Source organism: Homo sapiens, chromosome X, assembly GCF_000001405.40.
Source record: "Homo sapiens chromosome X, GRCh38.p14 Primary Assembly".
Lineage (NCBI taxonomy): Eukaryota > Metazoa > Chordata > Mammalia > Primates > Hominidae > Homo > Homo sapiens.
In genome coordinates, this window is record NC_000023.11 from 21,636,891 (window position 1) to 21,659,742 (window position 22,852).

At 40.4% G+C, this 22,852-nt stretch overlaps 2 protein-coding genes across 9 annotated transcripts in view; one reads left to right on the top strand and one right to left on the bottom strand.

Moving 5' to 3' along the window:
• CNKSR2 (connector enhancer of kinase suppressor of Ras 2) overlaps positions 1 to 17,799 on the top strand; it is a 280,272-nt gene extending 262,473 nt beyond the window's left edge. For 4 of the 8 annotated variants that reach the window (NM_014927.5, NM_001168647.3, NM_001330770.2 and 1 more), the window contains 2 exons: positions 11,941 to 12,137; positions 15,416 to 17,799. In NM_014927.5, coding sequence (NP_055742.2) covers positions 11,941 to 12,137; positions 15,416 to 15,631 — 413 coding nt within the window. In that variant the 3' untranslated portion in view covers positions 15,632 to 17,799. Of the gene's footprint in view, positions 1 to 4,642; positions 8,551 to 11,940; positions 12,138 to 15,415 lie in introns of those variants that run through there. The other 4 variants (NM_001168648.3, NM_001330773.2, NM_001168649.3 and 1 more) reach the window with 1 other exon arrangement.
• Positions 17,800 to 21,440, bottom strand: KLHL34 (kelch like family member 34). The gene has a single exon (NM_153270.3). The coding sequence runs from the start codon at positions 20,896 to 20,898 to the stop codon at positions 18,964 to 18,966; it is 1,935 nt and encodes a 644-aa protein (NP_695002.1). The 5' UTR covers positions 20,899 to 21,440; the 3' UTR covers positions 17,800 to 18,963.
• Positions 21,441 to 22,852: the final 1,412 nt, after the last annotated feature.

Sequence of the window (22,852 nt, forward strand, 5' to 3'; positions counted from 1 at the left end):
AATCTGAATGGCGACATTTGCAATGACAGTATCATGTGTCAAAATTCCATAGTACATTTTCCTGAAATATCTACAGACACTTCATTGAAAATAAACTGGTTGTAAATTAAAACAACATGTTAAGTACTTCTGTAACTATTAAATGTGAAAGATGTCTTCAGTTGTTTCGTAAAAACTTCACTCAAAGGGTACTTCAGATCTGCCTTAATTTCAGAAAGTTGTTTTTAATGCAGATTTTAGAAAGTCAGCATGTGTGATAGACTCCTGGATAAGTAATTAAGTCATAAATGGCACTCTAAGGTCATAATATAACAGTAGGTGGATTAAGATGAAATACTACTTTCATAAGGAAATACTCCATGTCTTGTGATTTATACACACAGGATGGAATTGTGATTTGGGAATTTAGAGGAACACTCAAATTATCTGGAAACAGTATTTTCTTACCTGTTTTGCCTATGGCTTAGGTTCATCAAATATTTTATTTTACCCGGAATTGTGAATTAAAGAACTCCATAAGTGCTGTAAGTATAAACACAAACTATATTATCTATCACTAGTTACCACTTTATTTAGAAAAATAATATTTTATCATGAAAATTTTGCTTCACATTCATAAAAATATTTTCCAACTCCTTCTCCCTATGGTATTAAAAAATAAAAAAAATCTTTAATATCCAGTCTTTTTGAAGTCAACCTTTTATGAGAAAATAGGCCCTCAAAATTTGGACAGATAATACTCAAACCACAATTAACAAGTCTCTGTTTTGGTCTGAACATTCTGAACCAAGGTATGAGCCCACTGTCTCCAATACTTACATAGAGAAAAGTAATTATCACTATCATTTCATGGTGTTGGATATCCTTGTTTTTGAAAAAGAAAAACTTAAATCTAAGCACATACATTTAGAAGAAGGGGAGGCTCCAAATAACTATGTTAAGTAAATAAGGTTTTTCAAAATAAACACAAAACAATTCTACTCTCCCAGGAGTAGAATTGTGTTACTCTTGATAGACTTGAATATCTGCTATTGATGACCTTTGTTATCCACAAATAGCTTAAGACAAGTAGTCCTTGGCTTTGCCCTTAAATTTGCCCTCAAGCATGCTGATTATGGAACTGAGTGAAATAGAATTGAGTTCTGTCTTAGAACTCAAACAGAATTAGGAATCTTTGTAAGTGCTCAACTGGCTTAAATACTTACTTCCATTTTAAAATATTTTCTTCTCTTTCATTCATTAAAGAAAATATTTATTTTCAACTGTTTTATATTTAGCCTTAATCATTTTCTTGAAGATGTTCGTACCTCTACCCTTATCCCCTCTATAATCTAATCCTCCTCAGGCATTTGATTGAAGTATCATCAGCTATTTTTAGCAGGTCACTAATGGAAGCCTGATTATATTTCTAAAACTTATGTTTCCAGAATTTCTATTTCTTCTTATTATTTGGGCGGTCAAGTTTTATTTGGGGCAATGTTTAAATTCATAAAGCAAAAAGAGAAAGAAACATCCTCCTCAAGATTTCCTATGCAAATTCAATCTGTGTCTCAAGGAACTTGCATGGATATGGAATCTCACTGGAATAAGTCATTCTACACATGATTCAACATGGCATTCCATCTGGGTTCATCATTCAGATCTCCAGGAGTATAGTAACAGGGAAACAAGATCTGTTTCTTCTTAACCTAAGCTGGTGGCCTCACAATTAGAAGTTTCAGTGATGAGTAGTAGCTTAATAAATATTTATTAAATAATACGCCAAACAGAAGCATTACTGATTTTCTTTGTGGTATCATAGATATGTTGCTCTCATTTCAAAATGTAATTGGCTAAAAGCTTGGTAAATAGTGAAATTTATTTTAACAGCAGCAGTAGGGAATATTTTTATAGTTAGAGTAACAGCCAAAAGAAAACAAAATAATCAAGAGTTATATAATTTATGTTTTTTCTGCCTTCTATTGTTTTTTCCATAGAGATGGGGTCTCACTATGTTGCCCAGGCTCGTCTCAAACTGCTGGCCTCAAGTGATCCTCCTGTCTCGGCCTCCCAAAGTGCTGGGATTACAGGCATGAGCCACTGTGCCCAGCATGCCTTTTTCTAAAGAACATGCAATTTCCATTTGTTCTTTTAGAAAAGAGGAATAAAATTAGTCTGTATAATAATTTTAACTGGTTTGACTATTTTGACTTTGTATCAGGATAAATGAAGTTGTCCACTACAAAGGAGAAGGGTAGTAATTGAGAATTGAACACAAAGAAAGAGAAAGCCCAGTGAAAACCTAAAGGGAGAGAAAAGGAAAGAGTGTTGAGAATCAGAATGGGACTTGTAAAAAGTTAAAGACACATAAACATGAGATTCACAGAAGTCCAAGATAGAAGGACAGTATCTTGAAGTAGGTTTTTGTGTTTTAGAGATTTCATCTAGATTATACGGGCAGCCCTTTGTGCACTTGCTTCTGACCCACCTGGCTCGCCAGTACACGTATACTTAAGATTCGTAATGCACATGCCAAGACATATAGTGGAGTTGAGTGTAGGAGTGCCGTTGTAGTTTCTTGTTTGCCTCAAATATAAATAGGCACTATTTAACACTACATAAAAAGTATAGTTCTAAAAAATTTATTTAAAATTTACCAAGGCCTCTTTCATTTTGCCATAATCTCAGTAGACCAAGATATTTCCATCAGATTCCTCAGCAAAAATCCTGAAATTGTTTAAGCTGTGTGATACAATGTCAGACTGGTGATGGGATTAAAAATAAAATGCTATGTGAAGTCCCCAAACTCAGGGCTTCTGACTTAGAAACTACTTGTATATGCAGTGCAAAAATTGCTGTTACTCCAACCAGCCCTAGCCAGTGTGATTGACCTAAAGCAAGAGGTCTCAAACTGCAGTGGGCACAAGAATCACCTGGATTGCTTGTTTAAAATGCAGATTCCTGAGTTCCATACCCAGAAATTCTGATTCAATAGATGAGGTGTAGGGCCCAGAAATCTGTGTTTAACAAGCACCTCCACCCCCATCCTGAGATTCAGTAGTCACTAGTACTGTGAGCACTAGTAGTTGAAGAGATACCGTGCCCTAGGGAGTTATCTTCTCTTATGCTAACTAACTGGTAGCTAGTTGTAGCCATTTTGAAATAGTACTTCTCCCTCCACCATCCCTTAGGAGCTAAACTGAGGAGATGTTTCCAGTCTCTTGCAATAGAATTCGGCAATTGTGACTCGATTACCAGGGCTCTAGTTCAGTTTAGTGTGGGTTAAGTGGGCATTAAGGAATGTGTATTAGAAATTAAAAGGTTCATGTAACCTTATCTCTGTGGGGAAACAAAGGATGTGTTTAGGATAACTACAAAATGTTTGAATTGCTTAGATAAATTAAGAACAGTTTAAACTTAGAAATGACCTTGTGCCCAAGGTTGGATTCCCTCTGATTTTGCTGTGTGAAATTCCATGACCTTGTGAAACAAAGTGGTAGAAGCTAAAGCTAGCATTCCAGTATTATAATATTCTAAAAACTGAGGTATTGTGTTTTGTTTCGTTTGACCTGTATATGAAGATTATTCAGTTTCCACCCCCATTTCTGCAAAAAGAGTATAATATTACAGACAAAAATTAGTTCCGCTGATTTCTGAACTATGCTATATCTTGTTTGCTAGATATCAGTGTTATAGGCAAGATGTGTCCCTCCCCATTTTCTAAGGGAGGACATAATGAACAACATGCTTTCTCTATTCTCTCTCCCAACTTGTTCCTTCTTTTCTCAATATGACTCAAAAGATACTACAAGATGTTGCAGATAAAAATCTGCACTAGGCTAGAGATTTAAAATATTGCTGATTTGTTCCTGCTGACAATATTTATTAGATTCCTCAAGATCCAAAATAAAATGACCTAAAAGAGGGTACAGTTTGTTTTATCCAAATTGTTATTAGTTTCTCAGGTCATTCAGAAACATCCATCTCTTCCAGTTTCTTAACTCCTTGGCATGTGGCTTATGCTCAGGTGTAAAGTCACCCTTTCATCACATTCACTCTGTCTTAGCTTTTCGTTTCTTGGCATTTTGTGTTGTTAAGCATGCGGCCTCCTCATTGGAGCAATACTAGCTAGGCTGTTCCACTGTCTCACTGATTAGGACATGGTAGCATATATATCAGGTCAATCAAATACCCTTCTGGTCAGAAGACTAGAGAGGTTTTCTTCATGCTTCTTGATTAGATGAATTTGAGGAAAGATCTCGTATAGAAATAATTTTAATTTTCTCAAAAGAAATGGTAATTTTACATGTATATGGAGAATATTTTAACATAAACTATTCTGATTAAAATTATAGATGTACATATACAAGTATAGTGGTGGGAAAATATTTTTCTGCACTGTGTGTTATTGTGTATATTTGGGAGATTAACATTTCCAAACAACCAAAGTTTAAAGCAAAAGGTGTCCCATTTATGGCCAAGTAGACTTGCATGCCAACAGAAAGACATTGTATTAAAACCATATGCAATTCTAGCCATATTTTTCTACTTTCTCTTCATGGGTATTGCATGATGGTATTTCTAATACAAATACTAATATGCTTTGGAAATAATGGCACTCGCAGGTCTTTCATCATATTGTATCACTGCTTTATCATATTAGGCTAATACACTGCGAGAGTTGGTAGAACCTCTCCATGCCAAATCGGATCCACTTCTGTTGGCACTCAACCCATTGGACTCACAGATTGATAAGCTAATGTTTAGAGAATTTAGATCGGAGAGAGTCGGTACGGCGCAGACTCAACATCAACCTCTTGCAAGCAACTAAAATGGCCTCGTCCTTGCTGTTTATAACAGAAAACAGACTTGTAAAAAGCTTAGATCATCAAGTGTTTTGGATTGGGGGCCTCCCAAAGGGATATAAGAGGGGCAGGCCACTCTTAAGAAGAATGCGAGCTTTCTACATTGGGACTAGCATAAGATCAAAGCCAATCAAGATGGAGCACAGTAACAGAAAACTGCGGTTTCTGTGGGAGAACAGAAGGGGAAAGGGTCTTAACTGGGAAAGGGCTCTGTGTGGTAACACCTCAGTTGTGTTCTCCTGACACCAGGAAAAGAGAGGGATCAGCTTCAATAACTAGAAAATTCTGGCTGTTTAATGGACTCTTTGGTGGCCTCTTTAAGGCAAAGCAGAGAAAGCAAATTATGTATTAAGTGTATTTTGCATTTTTAAAACTTGACGTGCTGTATTGTACTAAATTAAGTGTAATCTATTAAGGCAAGGTATACACAATTTGCTTTGAAACTTACTATGTTTATTCTATTATAAAGTGTATTCAGGTGCAACACAGAGACTGCTTTCGGTGACATTAATGAAGAAAATTTCTCATGCCAGGCTTTATTATAGAATCTTCAGCTAAAATCCTAACTTTCTCCTTATTTCTTGGCACTTGTATACAAGTGGTGTTGCCTCTTAGGGCAGGCATGAGCTATTCTTTTCTGTAAAATATTTTGAATCTATAGGCTGTGGGTTTCATTTTTGAAAAGTATTTTGTCTGGATGTCTTTCAAACTAGCTTCAGATATTATTTAATACTATGTAACTGGGTCCCCTATGGCTCAATCAATATTGCTTATTTTTCTTCTGTAGTGGATGTGAAATTTCCTTTAGTTGGATAAGATACACTGTAATAATTTTAATGCTAATTAATGATATTTCATACTGTGCAATGAACAGATAATTTAACACTGTATTTTGAAATGTTTTTTTCTTCCTGTCACCGCAGTGTGTGGTATTGCATAATGTGAATACCTGTAAAAATATAAATTACTTAAAAATAAAAATATGACCAATTGGTATCAGATCTTTTCAGATAGCTAAATAATTTGCTAAGTATGCCTGATAGTAAATATCTTTCTAAAAAGAAGTAATCAGTGCTTCTTTCTCACAAATGGAATTTGTGTCTGTGAATAAAATCACATTGATCTGCCTTACAATTGCCTCTGTGCTCTAACCATTTTAATGTGTTTTTTAAAACATATATATATAATGATGGTTCTGGTATATAGAAATCCATCAAAAAGCATTTTATTGGCTTTATTGGTATTTAATATTTATGGGATTGTCTTGGGTCATTCTCCCTGTTTAAGCCATAGTAAAATTTTGTGATCTAGAGAATTTGGTGTTTTTTTTTTCATTAAGGAATATAGTGACTCCACATTAATTTTCAAAAATAATCATCTCTTAGCTTTGGTTTTAAACTGTCTCCTTTATGAATTCCTGCCTGAGAGCCAGCACTTTGACTTCCATATTCCTAGTGGTTAAATTTTCTAAATTCTGTGGGTAAACCTAAACTGTCATTTATATTTTTGATTGTCCTTCAAAGAACCTTCCCTTCTTTGGGGCAATAAATCAATGCTAAGGACACCAAGGTTTTGCCATCTGAACTACTTGTCGTAAATACTGTAGTGCCCTGAAAATTCAACCACTGTCATGTATTTTTATCATTAAACTGCATAATTTAACAGAAATTACATGTTCAGAGAAAGAAGTATAGAATAAACTTTAGCTCTATCTCTTTTGTCACATCTTTATGGAGCAATATTTAGTGTTGTAAGGAAGGAATTGACAGACACAAGTACTTGATTTCAGTGAAGCACATTATCATTATTACAAGGATGGGCTTTACATGTTCTTTAAAAATACAGTTAGCAAATGTTGGTGGAGTCACTCAAACTGTTCTTTTAAGAGAAGGGGTTTTTTCTCACTAAAATAGACTTCTTTACTCAGAGAAATTATTTCCCAATAGTAATGTTTGTGTATTGTTACTTTGCCTAAAAGAAAATAAATAACTTACCCCTAAATATGAAACTAGTAGTTGATTACAGATGGAGGACTAAAAGCCAGCTTTTAAAATCTTATGCTTTTTTTTTGATATAACAAACTGCCTTCCCCAAACCCAGTTTTATAATGCTAGGCATAGCTGATTGACTTACATAAAAGCATGAATTAAGAGAGCTAGTATTTAATTACAAACATTCAAATTATAGTATAAACCCCTGAATACTTAATCATCCTTATCATAAAACCTCCAAAGACATTAAGTCCATTAAAAGTTTGTCACCTTACATATAAATAAATTATTCATTATGGCTTGCTAGTAAATTCATATTCATGGAAAATATTCGGGTGTTCTCAATGCAAATGTTAGTTGCCTTTTGTGACAAGAATAGTGTTTCACATACTTGATATCATTAGCCCGGAAGCCTTAAAGCACTCTGCAGCTGTACAAGAATGAATGTCTCTCAAATCTGACTATGTCCAGTCTTCTCTACCATTTGTGATTTAGTCTTTCCCAACCTTCTGGGCTCATTACACAGCTGTATTGCAGAAGGAACAACTGTTTCCACAAGGATATCATTGTCCAATTTTACAAGATCACAGATCCCTTCCGAAATATGTACCAGAACTCGTTATCCATCATTGGCTTCATTCTTCAAGAGCCCAATTGGTTTACTTATTTGTTTTGTTTTCATTTTTTATGCTCCTTCAACATTGTCATTGCAGGGATGTGAAAATGGGGTGGATACTAGAGTAAAATTTTAGGTTGCCAAGTTTCATGAACAATATGATACAATAGATTGTCCTAATAATTACACAGTCACCTGTTAGGGAACCCTTTTTGGAGTAGTTCATATATAAAGAAAACCATCACTCTGTTTGAATGTGTTGGGTTGCATGAGGCACTGTGCCAGGTAGAAGAAGGGGAAATGCAAATATGAGTGGGACAAATTCTACTCGTGGAAAAGTCACAGTCTAAGTCTCTGAAGTAGGGCACACAAGGGTCCATTAAGGTACAGGAAGAAAAAGCATTGGAATTTTTCCTTGGGTTTTATCTCTCATCCTTTTGAATTTCTTTCTGTGTATGTTTTATAACTTCTATCTATTACTATAGAGTAATACATGTATATAAGTTTCTGTTCGATAAAACGGAAGTGTTTTAACTAATAAGAGTGTGCAATCAGAAAAAGTTTGGAAACCACTGAGCCTGAATGTAAGAAATACGTCAACCAAAGACTTTTTGGTATTTGAGAAATGCATTATGATCTTCTAATAAGCAATGTGCAAGAGATTCCAACAAACTGGTATTTTTCATTAGCTATTCTTTTCTTTGGGCTTTCAGTTATCACTTACTACCTAGAGGTCATAGGCAACCTGAAAAAGACAAATAATGATGCTCACTACATTCCTAGATTCACAATATTTCATAGTGGAGCAGAATATGAAAGGGACAATAAAGAGGATCTTCTTTCACCCCGTCAAGTATGACACAGCCATAAATGACCCTCCCTCGGCACAGAATACAAGTTAATTCATCAATAACTTAATTATGATCCTCAAATCCATCAATCAATGAAATTTTATGTAGGAAAGAAAATTTTATATGCACTCTTTGCTTCAATAAAATTGGAATTCAAAAGTATGTAATCTGACACAGGACTAATTTACATGTTGTAAACGTAAATATAATTTGGGGGGAAATTTATTTCTGCATAGGCCCAGGTTTCCTGAATAAATTAGATACAGATTAAAATTTCATTATAGCAGTGATACAGTTCCTCATTAGGAATCACAGAAGGTTCCTATATATGTCCTGTGATTTGAATGTGGTCTCTACACTTTGCCAACTTTCAGAAAACATTCATTCAAATTGCAAAAGAGCTGGTTTTCAGCCAGTGTTCCAGTGGCTGAACTGGCACATTGAAAGAAAGTCAATCAGGAAGCAGACCTCACCAAGTGCTTGCCTCCTCTTCCAAAGCAAGCCTCTTCTAAAGGAAGAAAAAGCAAGGGTTGAAAAAAGAGAGAAGCCTGAAGAGAAGTGAGAAGGAGATGAAGAAGAGGGCAAAAAGAGAAGAAAATAAAGGTGCTTTCATATTTTCAGTTGCAACAGTAGCCCCAATTGACTTAATTGGTATTCATCTGAGAAAAATCAAGGAAACCAATTGAAAATTATAAAAGAAAATAAAGGTCTGTTTTTGTCTTGAATGTTGAGTTCTGTGTTGTTTTGACTGTTGAGCACAGTGAATCAGATTTATAATGTGACTCTGCCCCTCACCAACCGCCCTTTTGAAAATGAAAAGACTCTTTGTCTAGTCTTAAAATGTTAAGTAATTGGTGGCATTTTGTGGTAGCCTGGCATCTCAGTCCCTCGTCCTTACTCATCCCACTACTGTGTCTTGTGTAGTGTATGTGTATGATGTGTAGGGGATGGGGGCAGGGGGTGGCTTATTATCTCTGATAGGAGCCACACTATCCCATTACTATACTTGGAAATGTTTCTGTGTTCCGTCTCATTGTGATTGCTTGTTCAAGTGTGCTGCCCAGAGATAAATCCATACTCAATTCTTTTTACAGCTGTCAAACCAGATTCTTTGTAGAATTATGTTGTCTTTTGATTGAATGCTTTTCTCCCCCGTAAGAGCAAGAAGGGGGAGAAACTTTCAGTTTTTATTGTTTAATACCTATGTATGTCATTTTATATATTGAATCTTCATTCATCCTTCTTAAAGTAAAACTACATTGAAATTTTATAAAATCAGTTATCTGCCCCAGTATTTCACAAGCTTTAAGAACTGAGGGAAAACTGGGTCAAAATGTTTTTTTAAACAAAATATATGTACCCTTCTACAATGTTAGGTAATATGGAGGAAGGTTCTTTTAAAATAAAAATTACTATGTAAAAATACTCTGCCTCCCTTAAATCCTAAAACTAAAATCTGAATCCCTTTTTCCTTCACCTTCTTTCTAGAACCAAAAAACTAATAATACATTAGGCCACCTGATACCTTAACTACTATAATTCACATCTGTTAGGCCTCGCATTTTCTACCCCACCCTCTACTCTATGAAATTACATCTGGCTTTAGATGCAGTATTGCCTTGAGGAAAAAAAGAATACGATAACTACTATATAATTCCTCAGGGTTCTTTCCTGGCCTATGATTTTCTGAAATAGACTTATGCTGTTTAAATGTGTCCTTGTTTTTACAACTCCATTTAGTTATTCTAAATGATCATATGATTTTGTGCCTTCCTCAAGCCAAATCATTCTCAGTTAAGATTCCCTATCTTGCTTCCATTTTGTTCATAACCCACAAAGCAGTTTCTCCTTTTTACAGTCTTCCATCCCCCATCCCTCAAAATCCTCTAGGTGTTGAATATATTCAGCGATGGGCCAACAGAGAATTTAAAAGCTGTTATTTAAAGTGATTTTTGTATTTTTAGATTATAGTTCTAACTTAGATATATGGTTAAGAAGTTAAAATTTATCACAGAGGACTTAGTGATAGCATGTGCTGATGATAACAAGGAATTTTCTAATAGAAGGACTCAATGACTATACCTACCATTGGTTGTTAACTTCAGTAGCAGAGCCAAAAGTTGAATGTGGAATTTAAATAAAGCTGCTTTTTAATCCTAAAAATGACCTTTTTAGGTTAAGGTACTGTACATTTTGGGTTTTTTGATAGTTTTAGATACAGTCATTTTGAAAAATTTTTTGAATGCTGCATTTTAAGGGCGTCTCACATTCATTGGCATCTACTGCTAAATACACATTTCAAAAGACAACTGAAAAAAATTGGCAGTATAGAATTCTTGTTAAAATCGTGGATTCTGGGGTCAGACTGCCCACATGGAATTCTAGCTCCGCCACTTACTAAGTGTGACTTTGAGCAAGATACTGCCCTGCTATAAATGAAGATAAAATAGATCTGCTCTTAGTATTGTTGTGAGGATTAAATGAGATCATAAAGATTAAGCATTTACCCTGCTGCCTGGCACATCTAAATGTTAAATGGTATCATTACCAATTAAGGAATCTTTTTTTGAAACTGTCAGAAAGCCTAAAATATTCACATGGACCATTGTGGAATGAACAACATTCCATATTTACTCTTTGGGCCAATATAATTATTTAAATATGATTCTGGCTATCTATTTAAAAAAAGATGATATAGCCCTACTCCAATCTACCACTCCAAGCAAAATCCTAGTTCATCTTTGTTTATCATTGTTGAGAAAGATACGACATTAGTGTTCAGGCAATTATAAAAAACAAGATGGGAGTTTTATTTGTTCAGCTATGTCTAAGACCCTTATTGAGCCAGTCTCTCATTTTTTTCTCAAAAATATTTAACTGGAGTATTTTCTCCTCAGGTCTTACAAATACTAAGTAGCTTCTCTTAGCACGTGCCATATTTTCCCTCTATATTTGCATATAAACATATTCCCATGTTTCATTTTAATTAAAATATTGATAATTTATGATCAGTTACTATATTTACAATGTACAAGGCATTACTATGGCAGTCACATGAAACCTAGTAATCCTCTATGGCACAATTGGAAGATTTTTACAATCAAATATACTCCATTGAATGCCATTCAATCTTATGAAATCTGGAAAAATGTAAAAATCAGTTCATTCAGTATTGCTAAACCAGGCGAGCTCTATTAATCAGCATTTCTATGCTTATCAGCATAATGATAAGGGATGTTTATTAATGTTTTAAAATATAATGTGCAGGATTGTTTCCATGTTGTGTGCCTTTTGTATTCTAATTCTTTGAACTTGCTGGACTCAAGATATATATGGCAATTTGCTATCAAGAGTATATTTGGTTAATCAAATAATCCTATTATTTGATCATTCTAAAACAATTAGCTGCCTGTAGCTAATGTTACCCAATATAACTAGCAGCTGTGGGTTTTTGTTGTTGTTTTTTAATATAATAGTGTTCTCATGGTCATTCATTATCCTGTTTTTCAGATAGTTTTGATATTTTAATAAATTTTCCATGTGTCAAATAACTATATTGCAATGAATTCATTTCTCTTTCTCTCTCTCTCTCTCTCTCTTTCTTTTTTTTTTTTTTTTTTTTTTTTTGGATGTTGCAGGTGAAAGCAGAGAAGAAAAGTTAGGAGACTCATTGCAAGATTTATACAGGGCACTGGAGCAGGCCAGTCTGTCACCACTAGGAGAACATCGTATTTCAACCAAGATGGAATACAAGCTATCATTTATAAAAAGATGTAATGATCCTGTAATGAATGAAAAACTACACCGGCTGAGAATTCTCAAAAGCACTTTAAAGGTAAGACAAGAAATGGAAGGACAAATTTCTTTGAAGAGATTCATTCTTAAAGTGGATTACCAGATACTGTAGGTTAAGAAATACAAATTGGGGGCTGGGGAGAAGAAGAGGCAAGCAGTAAGAACTTGAAGCTGAGCTATTTCTATGTCATAATAACTATATTGGTAAAGAGGAGATCATCTTAACTTTTCATTAATGTCTCAAAGCACTGATTAAATGTTATTTTACTCAGTTCTAGGAGAAAACAGGATGTGATTTAAATTGTTTTCTAAAAATGCAGGGCTGGTGTTATTCCTCAGTCTATAGATTTTCTAAGATAAAAATACCATGTAGTGTAATTATTAGCATTACTAAAAGAACACAGCATGCATGCAGAATACAATAGTGGGTGCTAAAAGAGTTTGAGATATTTCGTGATTGTTTCCCGCATGAACTGCAGTGCATTTGGGATGAAGCCACGGTGATTTGTGTTCCATGTAGAAATTTTATAATTGTTCTGTTTACGTTATCAGTTCCCAACTTACATATTACCCTCCTATTATACATTTCTGTAAGTGTTTACATTGCCTCCAGTCTCCTTATTATATGCCCCCAGGTTGGGGAGGAGGTGGTGAGGACAGGAGAGCAGAGAGGCAGAAAGTTGGAAAAGGAGGCAGACAAGTGAGCCCTGCTCACTGTGTGTGGGGGAGTGTGGGAGATTGAAGGAGAGGGCCCACCGCACAAGCCACCTGAGCAGGCCCTGTGCCCTTATAAAACAAAAACAGAAGACATTTATGCAGCCAACAAACATGAAAAAAAGCTCATCATCACTGGTCATTAGAGAAATGCAAATCAAAACCACAATGAGATACCATCTCACGCCAGTTAGAATGGCGATCATTAAAAAGTCAGGAAACAACAGATACTGGAGAGGATGTGGAGAAATAGGAACTCTTTTACACTGCTGGTGGGAGTGTAAATTAGTTCAACCATTGTGGAATACAGTGTGGCGATTCCTCAAGGATCTAGAACCAGAAATACCATTTGACCCAGCCATCCCATTACTGGGTATATACCCAAAGGATTATAAATCATTCTACTATAAAGACACATGTACATGTATGTTTATTGTGGCACTGTTCACAATAGCAAAGACTTGGAACCAACCCAAATGCCCATCAATGATAGACTGGATAAAGAAAATGTGGCACATATACACCATGGAATACTATGCAGCCATAAAAAAGGATGAGTTCATGTCCTTTGCAGGGGCATAGATGAAGCTGGAAACCATCATCCTCAGCAAACTAACACAAGAACAGAAAACCAAACACCACATGTTCTCACTCATAAGTGGGAGTTGAACAGTGAGAACACATGGACACAGGGAGGGGGAACATAACACACTGGGGCCTGTCGGGGGGTGGGGGGCTAGGGGAGGGATAGCATTAGGAGAACTACCTAATGTAGATGATGGGTTGATGGGTGCAGCAAACCACCATGGCACGTGTATACATATGTAACAAACGTGCACATTCTACACATGTATCCCAGACTTAAAGTATAATTAAAAAAAAAAAGAACTATCATACAGAGTATGTGCTGTAGTAATTTCAGGAAACAGAAGGTCAGAGGGCTCCTTTGGGAAATATTTCAGATCCATAGCATGCTGCTGAGGTTTTGTAATTTTGAAATATAGGTGAGTACCAAAGAGACAGACAAACTAGAAAATGACCTGAAAAAATTTCAGATAGCAAGCAGCAAAGTTTTCAGACTCCATTAGCTTTTAATTGGTAGTCATGCAAATACTACTGCAAATCCAGGGGACAATTTAATGGACTTTTGGGAAGAGCAGAATTTTTAGAGAGTGCTGTTAATAGTCGTAAGAATAGTTGCAGTGACTAATCCTACTCCAAAGATATCATCACCCTCCCACCTTATAGAGCCTCTCCACTTCCCCCATTCAGTTCTAAACTGCCTGGTTTAGAAGGCAGGCAGGCATTTTGAAGCAGGTTAGATTCATGGATCTTAAAGACCTGTTTCTCTCCTTCTATCTCACAGCCCCTTTTCCCTGTCTTTTATGCTCTGTAGAGTCCCCCAGGGTATTTTCTTCCAGTGACAAAATATATGGCTACTGCCAATGTTCAGTTCACTAAGTATTGATGAATCACCAGGTACATGAATGCTCCACTCGATTCTCTGGGACCAAGAAAGATAACGAAAAGTCACTGTAAAAAATGTCCCTCATTGGTACAAATGAACTACAGAACCCTATGGTTTTTGGCATGGAAAATTAATAGGGAATGAATTCCTTCATTAGGGAAGCATAGCTGGCCAAGCAACCCTGGATGTGTCTATTTCCTGGAATTTTAACAGTCCCCCTCACCAAGCACAGATCTCAGATCCCACCACAGGCAACTCACAACATCCTCAGTCCCAGCCCTCTTCCATATTCTGGTCTGTGAGGCCAGACCAACTTCTTAACCACCTTACTGTTTTCTTTGCCTCCCAACTCTGGCTGGCCCAGAGGTGTATGCCTTACTTCCTGCAGAACATTTTCTACACTTCCCTAAGCTTTACTTGGGTCAGGACTGAGCTGCTCAGACTTTCTTAACCCCTACTTCTCCATCCCACCTTCCACCTGGGAAATTCTCATCTTCCCCAGGTGATAGTTTTAACTTGGTGAGTTATACCAAAATGAAGCTCAGTCTTCAGCTGAGACCCAGCTTCCAACATGGAAGGGAGAGCCATTCTCCATTACAGGCCCCCAGTGCTACAGAAAGGGAGCCATAACATTCACACAGCAAGAATTATGTATTTGTGGTAACAGGGGGGCCATGCTCAGTCTCATTCAAGTATGAGAAGCTTACCATAAAGCAGGAGAAATAGAACACATGCAAAAGTAACTCAAGAAATAGAATATGACAAATGTACTCAGTGGCACTGATGGAGTAGTAAAGGGGCATAAATGAGGGAGAAAACTTTTCTGAGTGTTTAAGCACAGCTTGAAGAAATGAGAGGCTTTTGAACTGGATCTTAAAGAACGAAAAAGGTTTCCATAGCAGAGATGGGCAAAAGGACAGGCAAAGAGAAAAAGCAAACCACACAGTGGGCAAAAGGAGGCGTTCCTCGGGTGTAGAAAAAAGTACACTAGGACGTGAGTCTAAAGAGCTGGGTGGGTGTGAGTATCCAAAGCCATCTCCTATGGGCTTCTTAAATGTTTTGCCTATTAACTTTTTATTTTAAACTTGAATAAAACTTTGTCCCTGTCTTAATTGTTGAATCCTTTTTCTTTTCAGGCCAGAGAAGGGGAAGTAGCCATTATCGATAAAGTCCTAGACAATCCAGACTTGACATCTAAAGAATTCCAACAATGGAAGCAGATGTACCTCGACCTTTTCTTGGATATCTGTCAAAATACCACCTCAAATGACCCACTGAGTATTTCTTCTGAAGTAGATGTAATCACTTCCTCTCTAGCACACACTCATTCATACATTGAAACGCATGTCTAAATGTATTCTGCCTTCAGACCATCTAGTACCTGCTGGTACTCTGAACAAGTATATAAGGTAGTTTTTATATCAATGTGTGGAACACTTGACAAGCTATACTTTAATGTTACCAAACTATATGAAACAAACCATATATGGTCACAATACCACTATCTTTAATGAGCATTTGTATATTTTATATGCAACAGTGCTCAGCTTATGTTTACCATGTGCAAAATCAACTGTCTTTAATGACTTAAAATTAACTTTTGCAAACAATTCTAAATACAGGTGGTCTTCAAGTAGTAAAACCACAAAAGGCAGTTTTCTATCTATGGTCATCTTTTCTCCCTTTAAGTTAATTTTATATAAACAAGACTTCAAAAGTAAATCACATTTTTTCAGGTGCAGACATCCTTGTGGGTGGGAAAGAATTTAAACCTTTTTTATATTTATTAAAATGTTCTAAGAATTTTCTTAAACATTGCACAAAGTTTAATGCTGTAGTTTTATTTTTGTGAAATGTAGATGCGCATACAAGAGCTAAGCAAAATAGAAGAGCATCGACATAAGAAAAGTTCAGGTATCTAATATTCGTCTTAATAGTCTATTAACTTGTGAAAGCTAAGTTAATGGAAATATTATTCCAAATCTATGAGAACACTTGGTGTATCAGGGCAAAGCTTTGTAAGATGTTTTTGTAACTAAGACCAAAATTGAAGATAGAGCTGCTTTATTTTCTTGGTTTAAATCTTCCTTTATTTTTGTAGTGATGAGATGCTGATTGTGTACAGAAGAATTTGAGAGGGGATTTTTAAAAACTGACTTAACACACCCAGAAAGGCAGCTAACAGCTATATATATATATAAATTTCAGCCCAAACTCATGTTTTTAAACTCCAACTCTTAAAAGACAACAAGGTATAAACTGAAATGAATCAACTTTCCACTTAGTTTCCAATTTTCCCCTAGTCCACTAATTAAACTTAGGTAATTATACTTCAGGTAGGGAAGTACAATATGTTTAGTTTCAGGCTGATGTGTGTTATAAAAAACAACACTGAAAAATAAAAATGTACTTCCCTTCTAAGGAGCAAGCAGGTGATGGTCATTCAAAGAGATGTCACATTGAATTATGAGAGAAACAATTTAGAGGTTTTTTTCCTGGCTTCATGAATTGTTCTATAGAGTGGATGAAGTCTAAGGAAAAGTCCTCTTCATATATTTCCATTTATAAGCGTCTTGTTTTTGAAAGTGATCACAGCATGAAAATGACTGTGCTGCTTTTTAGTGTCTGGCTGCATAATGTACAAGTCACAATTTGCTGTTTTTTTCAGGAGGAGAAAGGGAACCTCCTTTACTATTCTATATCCTAAAATCTACTTCTAATCAGCTTTATACTGTTGCCTGTACAGCTCAGTGAATGTACTTTCATCTTTAAGAGTTCAGATATATGCCAGTGAATATTTTTGCTGTAGAGGAGAAAGTAAAAACTCCACAGCGGGGATCTTTTTCTTTGCTTTTGAAACCACCATTGAATCACTATCGTTTTGCAGACTTTGCACAACTGTACAGGAGAGTGGCCTTTCTACAGCACATTTTCAGTAATCCTATATTTAGTCAAAATGGATGAGAAATCATGTATTAATGTTTGTATGGAATTTTGGGTCCAGTGTAATATTTTTATCATTTAAAAAGAACTCTATTTGTAAAAACATTTATTTACTGCATGGATATTGACGCACATTAAATTTGTGGGATTTTGTATATGTAAAAAAAAAAAAAAAAAAAAAACAAAAAACCTCTTGTCCTAAAATGAAGTGTGCTTGTTAACAGGTGTTTAGACTTATTGATGTTTACTAGACCAAATGTGTATGTTCACTTAAAAATATATGTACCTGATGGATGTGTCATGTTTACAGTGGCCAGGTTGTGGCCTGTAAACAGCAAGCAGTTGACGGGAAGACTAGCTCTGTTGCTACTAAGCAGCTTTTACTTTTGTAAAGTCAGCTCTGTTGTTTTAAATGGTAAAAATTAAACTAATGAATTTGACAAGACTCGTGGCTAGCCTAGCATGAAAGAGACCTTTTAACACTATATAATATCTGTACATTTTATTGCATTCGTTTCAAATCTAGGAGAGAGGCAGCACTGTAAACTGAAGTCAAATAAATTCAGCTCTTAATGAATCCTTATAAAGCACCTACTTTATTCATGCAAAGTCCTTACCACATTTCTTTGTGACCTAATTATACAGCCACCACCCCCCACCCTAGTTTCGAGTTCTAACTTTGCTGCCTCATTGGTGATACAAGCCAAAAGCAGCACCTGTTCAGTATATACAAGTGTCTTATCTAAGACCCTGAAAAATCAAGCTCGTTTCCCATTTACCTGAGACGAAGTTTAAAACTTTACCTATTCCTCTTTCCTTTCTCTGTGATTCTTTTGGGGGAAGTGGGGGTAACCACCAAAAATTGATTTTTTTTTACAAATATAATCTACAGTATGTCTGCAGAATGAACATTTAAAAGAGTATGAAAGAAATCAGTTTTTGTTTTGTTTTGGTTAGACATTCCACTTAACCAGAGGATCCTGATTATTATGGCTAAGGGTTGATGAAATGTGACTTAAAACCAGTGAGCTGTCTAAAGTCAGGGCAAAAGCAGCCTAGGGTGACACCGGTGACAGAAAAATTTAAGGATACTTTCTAGATTAAAAAAAAGTGCTTAGAGATTTTTTTTTTCCTTCTCAGTTCCATATTTATATCAAACCATCAGAGCAGAACTGTAACCATGGCTCCGGATCATAAAATCATAGTTCTCCTTACAATGATTTCATGGTATTTAACCAAGGCACTCTCCTTTCACTATTTATTCAGATAATGCCATCTCCTAGGACTTAATTACAGCCTTTATAGCCAACAATTTTCTGAGTTTTGTATAAACTTCCTGTGGTACATTTTTTGGCCTTTTTTTTTTTTTTTTTTTTTTGGCACATAAGTAATCACTGTTTTGCACCTAGGGAAACACTTTAACTGTAAGAGGGAAAATAAGGTCATATTTTATTTGTGAAAGTCCTTCTCTAGCCTTGCGTGAGCCTTTCTAAAAATTTTCTTTCACCAGCTCACTGAAGTTGATTCATATAGCCTTCTATTTGACCCCCCGCCCCGCTGTCTCCCATTCTCAGCTCAAGGAGAAATGTTTCTCTTTGCTCAAGGCCTTGTTTGCCTGTTAACCTTCAGAAGCCACTCTGCTCCCAGAATCCCTTTCTTAGAAAAAGCCCATCCGTTGCTCTGTAAGACTAACCAAGCGCGACTTTCTCCTCCATTGCGGAAGGAAACCGGACTGACCCATTCAGCCCAGCACCAAATCTAGCGCCTCTCCAACCTCTCCCTCCCTCTCGTCGTCCCCACCCTCGGCCAGCTGCAGCACTGCGCACCGCAGGCCGCTCCAGGCCCAGGGCAACGCGCAGCCGATGTCCTCCCAACGGTCCAGGTCGAGGTCGTAGCCCACTACGTTGCGGGTAGGCACCTGGCGCGAGTCCCGCCACTTGAGGCCGCCCAGCAGCAACGCTGTCTCCTCGACCACGGCCAGCCCATAGCAGAAGCGGTCGTAGGGCAGCGGCCGCAACCGAGTCCACTGGTCGGCGCCGGGGTCGTAGCGCTCGATCTCAGAGAAGGGCTCGTATCGCCCCAGAAAAGCAAACACAGCGCCGCGCAGCACTGCCATGTGGTGCCCGAAACGTGCGGTGCCCATGGGTGCCTTCTTGCTCCAAACCTGCTCCTCAGGGCCCAGGACGTATAAGTCCCGGAGGCTGCTCGCTCCGCCCTCGCCTCTCCCTGCCTTGCCCCCCGAGATGTACACAACACCGCGGTCCCCGACGGCCCCCGCGTGACCGTGCAGAGCCCGCGGTAGTGCCCCAGCCGCCGTCCAGCGGTCCCGACGCAGGTCGTACATCTCCACCGAGGCCAGCACCTCACCGCCCGCACCCAGGCCCCCGACGGCCAGGAGCCTCTCGCCCACCGCGCCGCACCAGAAGTGGGCCCGCGCTTCCCGCATGGCGGGCACTTCCGTCCAAGCGTGGAAGCGCGGGTCGTAACGGTGCACTTGGGCCGTGACCACCCGCGAGTCGTCGGCCAGGGGAGAGGATGCACTGCCGGAAGGGCTCTCCCCACCCAGGACAAACAGGAAGTTGCCCGCGGTGCACACGCTGTGCCCCAGCAGTGGTGTGGGTAGCTGCGTAAGGCTGCGCCAGCGGTGATTGTACACATCGAAGGCCACCACGTTCTGGGTGAGCTCCCACTCCTCCTCCTCCTCCTCTTCCTCCAACTCTTCCTCTTCTTCCTCGGGCTCTGGGGCGGCGACCTGGCCCCTAGCTGCCCTCTGCGGGGCCGCGACCTCCTCAATCACCACCTCCCGTGCCCTGCGCCCCCCCACCAACAAGATGCGGGTCTGGGGGCTCCGGATGCTGGTCTGCTCGCCCTGCATGAGCGGCTGGCGGGAGGGCGTCGTGTGGTAGTTGAGGGCCTGGATGATGAGGCCCTTGACCCGGGCGGGCAGCACGAGGCCAGAGCCCGAGTACACGCGCCGCAGTACGTCGGCGGGAACCAGGCCAAAGCGGACACGCTCCAGCAACTCTGTACAGTGTGCCAGGCGCTCAGTTGTGGGCTCCTGCCGCAACCAAGCTAACGCCAGGCCCAGTAGCCGGGCCTCGGGCACCCGCGCCACGTCGGGGGCACCCAGTACAGCCCTCAGCGATGTAGGGTTGAGCTCCAGGAGTCCCGCGGGGCCCGCGCCCCGCGCCAGCAGCTCCTGCAAGTGGCTCACGATGCAGCGCTCGGCCGCGTCCAGCGTGTGAGCCAGGCCAAAGCGCGCTGCCACGTTGGCGGCGAAGCAGCAGTTCTCTGGAGCCAGCTGGCGCTCCAAGTAGCGCCCACAGAGCCCCAGGGCCTCAGTGACCTGCAGGTAGCTGGCGGCCTCCAGAGTGTCCTCTACAGTGTCCATGGAAAGCGACAGCCAGGCAGTGTAGATGAAGTCCAGCAGGCGCTGCAGGCCGGCTGCCGATGGCACGTGCAGGTGGATCACGCGCGCCCGGGATTCCTGGGTGTGGCTCTTGAACAGGGCCCTGAAGTAGTCACTGGAGCACGCCAGGAGCGACCTGTGCGCCGGGAATTCGCTGCCCTCGGTCTCCAGTGTCACGTCGCACAGGAAGCCCTCGGCGCGCAGGGCCTGGTAGCCGGTGAGCAGCGCGCCGCCATGAGCTTTGCAGTAAGACAGGAAGTAACTCATTCTACCCAGGGCTGGAAGCAGCCTGGTGGGACCAGAGGCCTGCTGGGCAGGGCCGGAGGCATCCCGGGGCACAACACTCCCGGGACCCCCGCGTAAGCCACAGAGCCCCTAGCAGGGGCCCATTTCTGCCTGCTCAGTTTAAAGCCCAGGGCTCCTTCATCCAGACCTGCAGATCGCCCAGTGCCCCTCTCAGAGCAAATCCAGTCTGGAAACGGTTTTCGGAGGCCCCTAGTAACGGAGGGCGCGGAATTTGGAGGCTTCCCGGGAGTGTGGGGCTTGGTTTCCACGACTGCCGAGGCTTCCAGCGCGTTGCCCGAAGTCCCCTCCCCGGCCCAATGTGGAGAGCCCACACCTGCACGCCAGGGGCGGCGGTGGCTGCACACCATCACCTGGAAGAACCGAGTTGCCGGTGGACTCCGGGGGTGCTGGATGTCCGACGGCGCAGATGCGGCGTCCCGGGAGTGCAGGGCGAGGACTCTGACCTCTCCGGGGTGGACGAGGAGGACGGGTTCTGCGGGCACCCGCGAAGGCCGGGGACAACTGGTCACGGGGCAGTGGGGGGGTGAGCTTGTTCCGCGCGGAGGATCAACTCAAAGCCTAGGGGATTAGGGAGGGGAGGGCGCAGGTCAGAGCGGCGGGTCAGAGGCGTGATTGGGCGCCGCACATAACATGCCGGTAGCTCACAGCGACAGGAATAGCGCGCCGCCTCGGCCTCCCGGGCGCGCCCCGCCCCGTGCCCTGACTGCTGGCCGCGAACCGAGGGCACGGGCGCGGGTGAAGCGGCCCGGGCCAAGGGCTTGACTCCAGTGACCCTACTGGCCACCAGTGTCACCAGAGGGTCCCAGGAACCCGGTTGGGGTTGCGGGAGCCGGAGTTCACTGGAGAGGCACGAGTCGCCGGAGCCCCTCGACCCGGTAGTGTCGGCGGAGGGGCGTCCGGCTGGGCAGGAGGAGTGTAGACCTCCCGGTGTCCCTGTGTCTGGGAAAGAAGCCCTGGCTCAACTTTCTGCTTTGAAGAGGCCCTAATTAATCCAGCGGGAGCGAGGATTAAGCTGCGACTTTGCGCGCTGACACCCAGTAGGCCGCTGCGCGCTGAAGAGGCACTGGCGGGAACCACGCCCGGGCGAATCCCAAGCTCCCCGCCAGCGGCGCTAGGTAACGTGTCCCTCACCTGGACTCACCCTTGAGAGATTCTGGGCCTACTCTGAGCCCTTCCTGAGGCAGCTCGCGTCTCCCAGGCTGGCTCGTTTCACCTTTGTTCCCACGCCCGTTCCCAGACCTCACCTGAGTTTTCCCTTCCTATTCTTGGACCCTGCCCCGACCCATCCCTTTGCAGCATGAACAAGGAAACTGTGGTTGACTTGGATTTTCTGCCACTCATTGTACACTTCCTTTGGGGAAAAAAAAAAAAAGTCATTCCTTCCAATTTCTCTCCCCGATTTTCCACGCTCTGATCTAATTACTGGCTGCTACATCCTCGATGTTATCCCGGGATAATGAGCCGTACGGTTGCAAGCTCGGTAAAGCTGGAATTTCGTAGGGCCCTTCCTCATAAAGTTATTTTTTACAAGAAACGCCCCAGCATGGAAATGACTAAAACCAGCCTGATCTTGAGACTTTAGGAAAGCATCTCTCCATCTCCATCCTGTTCTTAAATAACTAAATGATTAATATAACTGGTCTTTTTCTTTCTTTCTATTTATTTTATTTATTTATTTATTTATTTATTTATTTATTTATTTATTTATTTTTTGCCAATTTGGAGACTTCTTTTGCTTTCATCTGGGATTGATTTTTCTATTTTCTAGTGCAACCCCTCTGGCAGCCTTTTTTAGGTGAGCCTTTTGAGGGCATCTGTAATAACTCGTATTTCTGACAGCTGGGGTTGTATTTCATAGGGAAAAACAGTTCAAGGAAGGATAAAATTATGTCATTTCCTACCTGGCATGCCATTA